The sequence below is a fragment of the Homo sapiens genome, chromosome 4 (genome assembly GCF_000001405.40).
Source record: "Homo sapiens chromosome 4, GRCh38.p14 Primary Assembly".
NCBI lineage: Eukaryota > Metazoa > Chordata > Mammalia > Primates > Hominidae > Homo > Homo sapiens.
In genome coordinates, this window is record NC_000004.12 from 24,488,792 (window position 1) to 24,497,509 (window position 8,718).

Below are 8,718 nucleotides of genomic sequence, written 5' to 3' on the forward strand. Positions count from 1 at the left end.
ACCAACTAGGACGATAGAGGCCATCCAGTCCTCTTTAAGGATGGGTTGGCTCAGGAGGTCAAGGCAGAAATGCCCACTAGGGGGCGAGCGTGCTCACTCATCGATCCCCGTGGTGGTTCAGTCCTGGAACTACTAGGAAGGGAAGAGGGGGCTAACACGTTCCAGGCACTCTCCCAGGCCCATCTCTGGATGCACTACCACATGTAATCTAACATTGCCCCGGCTGAGGAGGTTGTATTTCTCCATATTAAACCTAGGTATTCTGAGGCTTAGGGGGGTTAGTTAATCGGCCCAGGATCCCAGAGCTGAAAGTGGAAATTGTGATGGAAACGAGGCTTCTCCTACTCTAGCAGGCCACCTAAAGGGTCCCTGTAAAGGGCAATACTCAGCTTTGACTGTTGGAAAGGAAGGTGTGCAGACACCAGACATGTGGACACTGACAAAATGGTGGGTCACATACACCTTCCCCCAAAAAGGGGCGTAAGTTTAAGCCTGTGTTTCCCAAAGTGTGTCCCACAGAACATAAATCCTGAAAGGTCCTCTGTAAAAAAGGTCTCTGAGGTCATAGAAGTATTTGAAATGTGGCATTTACTGTTCTTTCTGAAATACAAAATACTGGTGAATATGTTAAAGGTCGTGGGAAGTCCTGCAGTAAAGAAACCTGTTTGCTTGACTTTGTTTAATCTAGTTGAGCACTTGGCCAGCCTATTGGACATCAGGGTTGTTACATACATATGACATCTATTCATTTTTTAAAAATAAGCTTGCTTCAGAACATTAGGAACATACTGAAAGTGAAGGAATGGGAATTCACACATTCAAATAAGGGATTGACATAGATGTCTCAAAGACAGAGGAAAGTGCGTCCAAGTAGGGTATTTATGGAAAGTCTGAGTTATGAAACAAAAACAGACCCAGAACCATACAGAAACCTAAAGTCTTTAGGATATGAAGAACCATTTCAGCATTCAGGATGACTCCAAAATGTAATCCAGAAGACAAACTATCATGGTAACCAAGATGTTTCACACCATGGGGTAAAAATTTTACATTTTGAGTCCTTAATCTCCAAAGCATGCTCAGAGCTGGATCTTAGCATGGAATGTGAGTTTAATCATGAACTTGCTGTATTCATCAACACACACACACACACAATGGAAAAAAGTTTTGCTACGATTGTACTGAATGGCTTAGAGAGTACAGTCCACAGAGACAGATGGTTAGACCCATGGCTGGCTCCCAAAGCTGCATTCTCCAGTTCAGTGAGAGGCCAGCAGAGACAAGTGAGGAACCAGCTGCTTTCCACAGCTGGAACAGCTGCAGGGATTGACCTTGAGAGACCCTGCAGTCAGCACACGAACCTGGTGGCTCATGCTGACTTCATGCCTCAGAATGGAGTACAATGAAAAAGAACATCTACTGTTCCTGATGGGTTAAAGATGGCCACAAATCCTTTGATACTTCCCCTTTCAATAGGTGGGGTCTAATTTCCCTCCCCTTGAATCTGAGCTGGTCATAATGGCTCACTTGACCAAGAAAATGCGGCAACCGTACTCTTCTGGGACTTTTGAGGCTAAATCTTAAGAAGCTTGCAGCTTCTGTCAGTCTCCTAGAACACTCAGTCCTGGGACCCAGCTACCTTTCTGTGAGGAAGACCAAGCAGCCCCATGGAGAGGCCACATGGAGCCCTGGTTGAGCTCCAGCCAACAGCCAGCACCATCTTGCCAGCCATGTAAATAAGCCATCTTAGAAGTAGTTGGAAAACCAACAAGTCATCCAGCCACGCCCTACGCTTCTCACCCCTAAATGATCTGATCCTACATTCATGAAATACAGTAAAATGGTTGCTTTAAGCCACTAAATGTGAGATTATTTGTTAAACAGCAATAGATAACTGGAACACAATTTTATTGAGCCACTATAAGTGATGGCACCAAAGTAGGTACTTTGAATATGTTATCTCCTATAATCGTCACAATTTTCTTTAATTGTACAAATGTGAGAATTAAGACTTTGACCTTGGACACATTAAGAAACTCATCCCAAGTCACACAGCAACCCTGTTTTCCTGTCTCCAGTATCTTTAATTATTAGAAAATGTATTAGGGAAAAAAATCCACAAAATATGCTATAGAGAAAATAGGTAGTAGAAAAGTAGAATGAATGGTGAGTTTGCATGGGTGCAAAAGAAAGCACCTCTGATTCTAGCCTAAAATAAAACAAAAGTTGTAGACAATGGAGAATTCTCATGAAAATATGTCCTCCCTCTGGCTTCAGTTATATCACTGCTATGAGACTGAATAGGAAAGAGGGAATGTTTTCATAATGTTAAAGATTTTTTCCTTTAAATTAGCAAGGCCAGCGCACCAGCTGGGTCCTTGACAGTTGTCTTTACTAAAAGCACTTATGGACTTAGCACCTACTATGTGTTAGGCATTGCCTCAGGTGTTTCACCTGTCAGATAACCACAGGCACATTTCCTTACATTTGTAAGAGCTTTAGAGTTGACATAATATATTTACCCACATGGTCTCATTTCATCATGGGAGCAGATGCTTTTCCTGGGGAGCAAAAGGAGCCAAATTAATCAACAAATGATCAACATTTAGCAGGCACCACCTATATGCCTGACACATAAGATCATTCCCTGCCTCCCTCTCCCCACTGGCTGGTTTATTCCCCTTTGCTTTCTTACTTAACGGTTTGTATTGTATGGTTTATACCTGTTTCCCTCATGACTCTATAAGATTCTCTTGCATAGCAAAAACCTATGTACAGTGCCTGGGGCAAAATAGGGAAGGTCTGCTAGTGAAATGGAGGGAGGGAGGGAGGGAGGGAGGGAGGGAGGGAGGGAGGGAGGGAGGGAGGGAGGGATGGATGGGTAGGTGACTGGATGGGTGCATAGGTGGGTGGGTGACTGGATGGATGGGTGAATAGATGGATGGGTAGATGGGTGGGTGGGTAACTGGATGAATAGATGAAAGGGTGGATGGGTGGGTGACTAGATTAATGGGTGGATGGATGAATGGGTGGGTGACTAAATGGACAAATGAATGGATAGGTAGATTGGTGACCGGATGCATGCATGGATGGATGACAGGATGGATGGGTGGATGTTAGTGGGTGGGTGACTTGGATGGATGGATGGATGGATGGATGGATGGATGGATGGATGGACAAACGGATGGATGGATGGATGAGTGGGGACTGGATGGATGGATGGGTGTGTGAGTGGGTAGGTGAATGGTTGGATGGATGGATGGATGGATGGATGGATGGGTAGGTGACTGGATGGATGCATAGGTGGGTGGGTGTGTGAGTGACTGGATGGATGGGTAGATGGGTGGGTGGGTGACTGAATGAATAGATGGGTGGATGAATGGATGGGTGGGTGACTGGATGAATGGGTAGATGGGTTAATGAGTAGGTGACTAAATGGACAAATGGATGGATAGCTGAGTTGGTGACTGGATGGATGCATGGGTGGATGGAATGATGGATGGATGAATGGATAGATAGATATAGGTGTGTGGGTAACTGGTTGGATGGATGGATGGATGACTGGATGGACAGATGGATGGACAGATGGATGAATGGATGGATGGATGGATGGATGACTGGATGGACAGATGGATGGATGGATGGATGGGGACTGGTTGGGTGGATGGATGAGTGGGGACTGGATGGATGGATGGATGGGTGTGTGAGTAGGTAGGTAACTCTTTGGATGGATGGATGAATGGGTGGATGGATGGATAGGTGGGGACTGGATTGATGGATGAGTGGATAGGTCGGTGGGTGGGTAGATGGATACCTGGACGGGTGGGTGTGAATGAAAGGACTATATGAATAATTAAGTAGTTAAGAGTGGTTAAGACTTACGGAATCACCCACTCTTTATTGCACTCTTTTTTTTAAGAGGCAGAGTCTTTCTCTGTCACCCAGGTTGGAGTGCTGCAGCCTAATCATGGCCCACTACACCCTCCAACTCCTGGGCTCAAGGGATCCTCCCACCTCAGCCTCCCAAATAGCTGGTAGTACAGGCATGCACCACCATTCCCAGCTAATTTTTAAATTTTTTGTGGAGACGGGGTTTCACTATGTTGTCCAGGCTGACCTCAAAGTCCTGGGCTTGAGTATCCCGCCACCTCAGCCTCCCAAAGCTCTGAAATTATAGGTGTGAGCCACTGCACCTCGCTCTTATTACAAAAGCTACCAGTTTTTCGAAGAGGAGGAAAAGAATAGTGAAGGGAATGAAGAGATGGAAGAAAATGAGGATGAAGAAGACAGTTCAGGGAAAGTCATCAAAACAGGTACTAAGGAAGGGAAAAGATGTATTTAAAGTATTATCCATTCCTCAAGGCGGCCGAAGGGGGTGGATCACTTGAGCCCAGGAGTTCAAGACCACCCTGGGCAACATGGTGAAACTCTGTCTCTACAGAAAAAATAAAAAATAAAAAATAATATATATATATACACACACACACACACACACACACACACACACACACATACACACAAAATTAGTCGAGTGTGGTGGCACATGCCTGTACACACACACACACACACACACACACAAAATTAGTTAAGTGTGGTGGCACATGCCTGTAATCCCAGCTACTGGGGAGGCTGAAGTGGGAGGCTAGCTTGAGCCCAGGATGTCAAGGCTGCAGTGAACCATGATCATGCCACTGCACTCCAGCCTGGGTGACAGAGTGAGACTCTGTCTCAAAAAATAATAATCAAGTGCCAAGTGTTGGCACAGACACTAACAGACAGAGCAGTAAGGGAAGGTTTTAAAATGGAGGGAAGACGGGCAGGATGTGACCTGCTGGGGAGGGTGGAGGCTGGGGGACTGCAGTGGAAAAGGAAGGAGCCCATTATTAGACAACTAGGTGAGGACACTAAGTGAGAGGTTCCTTCAGGGGCAGTGTGTTTGGGGAATCAGGCGTTGTGTCACTGCGGAGTGCACATGGGAGGTTGAAAGAAGAGACAGGCCAGGCCAGTTGTGCAGACCTCATGCAGACTAAGGAAGCAGAAGTTCTCCTGGCAGGCATAGATGTACATTTGAAAAAGAAAACACAGGGGTTGGAGTGGTAGGAGAGCATCACAGCAGTGGTCTCCCAGTTTTTTAATGGCTGTTGTGTGCAGAAGGATTAGGAAGCATCCCATGACAATAGCTACTATTAATGTGCCAAGTGGTCTGCTAAATCATGACATGCATGAGCTCATTCAGTCCTCACCCCAACGTTCTCTGGTGCATACTATTATTATTATTATTTTGAGACGAAGTCTTGCTCTGTCGCCCAGGCTGGAGCGCAATGGCACGATCTCAGCTCACCGCAACCTCCACCTCCCGAATCCTTCTGCCTCAGCCTCCCGAGTAGCTGGGATTACAGGCACCCATCATCATGCCGGGCTGATTTTTATATATTTGTAGAGACAGGGATTCACCATGTTGGCCAGGCTGGTCTCGAACTCCTGACCTCAGATGATCCACCTGCTTCGGCTTCCAAAAGTGCTGGGATTACAGGTGTGAGCCACCACACACCAGGCCCCTGGTGTGTACTATTATCCCCATTTTATAGATGAGAAAACAGAATTGAGACGCCAAGTACATTGTTGAAGATCACATGACTCATAAGTGATGGAGCTAGGACTTGAATCCTGTTTTTCCCAACTCTGAAACAGTAGGATGGAACAGAGTACCCAATCCATTTCCTGTGCTGTTCAAAATGAGCAGAGGGTAGAAGTTACAGGGGCACAATTACAGGGCTCAGCAGAAACATTTCTCTCAGAATTAGAGCTGAGCCAGAAAGTAACCTGCAGCACTTAAGAAATGGAAGTGGAGGTAGCTGATGGGGAGAAGCATCTGGTAAGAGCATGGTATGGACATTTGTCATGTTTCCTCAATGCCCAGCCCTTTAGAACACCCTTTCTATACCAAGCAACACAATTTCCATATTAGGTGACTCTCTTCCCTAAGCCACAGCCTGAAAGCATGTTTTCCCAGCCTCTCTTGCAGCTAGCGCACAGACATGAGACCAGGCTTCAGCAACTGGAGTGTCCAGACTGTGATTCAAGAAGAGGGACATGGAGTCCATTTTGCTAAAGAGGCTGTTTTTTTGAGGGTGGTGGTGGCCACAAAGCCTACTTTCTGGCACAGAGCTGGCATTGGAGCTGGTGACAGTGGTGACTTTGGTGAAATCAGGCTCCTGATAGAGGCAAACTAGCTGCTTAGTGGCAGCATCAGTAGTGGATTCCTCATCAGACTAGATTGATGCTTTCAAGTTTGGCTCCTGAATTTTGAGCCCTATTCTGCTGCACCCTAGCAGATTGACAAGCCCCCAGTGTGCTCTCAATAAACTCCTCTCCAGCCTAATGGGCTGGGGGCCACTTCTGTTGCTCACCATGTAGAACGCTGACCAAGACAAGCGCCCAGAGGGAATTTCTATACTGTGCAGAGTTGGACACAAACACCTCTTATCCCTGTCAAGGGCTGATTCCAGAGTCTAGAGAATTTTTGTCAATCAGCTGGAGAGGCAATTTCTAGTGACTTTAACACACTGGTGAAATGGCTCTGAAAACTTGAAGGCAAGACCTGTTAGGGGCATATTAGTCAGGGTTCTTCAGGCAGACAGAACCAACAAGGGAGAAAAACAGGAAAGGAAGAAGGAAGCAGGGAAGGAAGGAAGGAAGGAAGGAGAGAGAGAGAGAGACAGACAGACAGACAGACAGACAGAAAGAGAAAGAGAAAGAAAGAAGGAAAAAAGAAAGGGGAAGAGAAGAAAAGAGAGAGAAGGGAGGGAGGGAAGGAAAAAAGGAAAGAAAAAGGAAGAGAGGAAGGGAGAAGAAGAAGGAGGAGGAGGAGGAGAAGGAGAATAGAAGGAAGGAAGGAGAAAAGAAAGAGATTGAGAGAAACATTGATTTTAAGGAACTGGCTCACATGATTGTGGAAGCTGACAAGTGCGAAATCCAAAATCTGCAGGGTAGGCCAGCAGCCTGGAGATCCAGGGAAGAATTGCAGTTCAAGTCCAAAGACCATCAGCCAGCAGGATTCCTTCTCCCTCAGAGAGGTCAGTCTTTTTCTCTTAAGGCCTTCACCTGGTTAGATGAGGCTCACCTACATTATGGAGGGTAATCTCCTTATTCACAGTCTACTGATTTAAATGTTAAATCTCAACTAACATATACCTTCACAGAAACATCTGGAATAATGTTTGACTATATATCTGAGCACTGGGGCCTAGCCAAGCTTACATATAAAAATTAACCATCACAGGACCCGTACCAAGCAATGTAATTATTTGATAGAGGTTGATGTACATAATTATTGATGTAATTATTTGACAAGTTGAGATTCTCATTTTACAAAACACTGTTTTTGTCCCTGTATGTCTCTGAACTTCACACAGCACCTGGCACAAAGACTTGACGTGTGTTTCAGAGATGGGTGTTTGGATGGCTGGGTAAGTGGTAGGTCTTATTGTCCAGTTTTTTGACAGCATTTTATTTTTCTTCTCTGCATCTTATCAACATTTTTTATATATTTCGAAAGTACATGGCCAGTCATGGTGGCTCACACCTGTAATCCCAGCACTTTGGGAGGCCGAGGAGGGTGAATCACCTGAGTTCAGGAGTTCAAGACCAGCCTGCCCAACATGGCAAAACCCCATCTCTACTAAAAATACAAAAATTAAATGGGCGCGGTGGCATGCACTTGAAATCCCAGCTACTCAGGAGGCTAAGGCACCAGAATCGCTCGAACCTGGGAGGCAGGGGTTGTAGTGAGCCGAGATCACCCTACTGCACTTAAGTCTGGGTGACAGAGTGAGACTCTGTCTCAAAAATAAATAAATAAATAAAAATAATTTCCTCTGTTGGTGTGGGGAGCAAGGGCGGTTGTCTGGAGCATCGCTCTTTAACTGAGGTAAGTCTTTAGGCACGAGCAGGAGTTGAGTTGGCACGGTGATTAGCCCAGGGAGATGCAGGTTTAAAGGGTGCACACCCAGCAGCAGAGGGAACAGCACGTGCAAAGAAGAAAAACAAGGAAGAACACAGTGCCGTCCTAAAGATGCAGCTAGTTTTGGTGCTGTTGGTTTTGTGGTTATTGCTTATTTTAATATCTCTGGAAAAGTCACAAAAATGGGGTTTAGCCTAGATAAGGAAAAATTGAGCTCAACTGGTTTGTGTAAGGAATAGGTTTCATATCCTCAGGAAACTGATTAGGAAGAAATAGGTTTAAAAAGGAGGGTAGGAAACAAAGAACTTGAAATTACCACTAGGATAATCAAACTTGGGCTTGTGCTACAAATACCACGGAGCTGTGTGTGGAATATCCTTCCACCGGAGGCAGCCGGGAGGAAATGACCAGGACTGACTCCTTGCGGAGGCCAGACCAAGTGACTTCCACCATTTTGTGGCTAATGTTTGTGCAATGGATGGTGTAGCATCATAGTCTCCGACTCTTCCAGAAAATACTCCAGTTTAAATTGGCTACAAATACAATCAATTGTTTGGTCAGTGAAAGGCTGCAGTCTCTATGAACCTTACCATACGCATCTATTTCCATGAGCCAAAATGCTAATGCAATTCCATCCCGTGGAACTATTCCCCGTGGTTAGTCTAAAAATCAGCTTTACTCACCCGGTGAATCAACTGACCACAAAATCCCACTGAGGAAATAACATTGGGAAAGCACCCAAAAAGAATCCTGTT

General features: G+C 45.5%; 1 annotated feature.

The window, feature by feature from the left end:
• Positions 142 to 191: an enhancer, noted in NCBI's record as "active region_21368". NCBI's record gives its function as "activates an Ori minimal core promoter by ATAC-STARR-seq in GM12878 lymphoblastoid cells {active_cell/tissue: GM12878}" and the evidence as "EXISTENCE:reporter gene assay evidence [ECO:0000049][PMID:35858748]".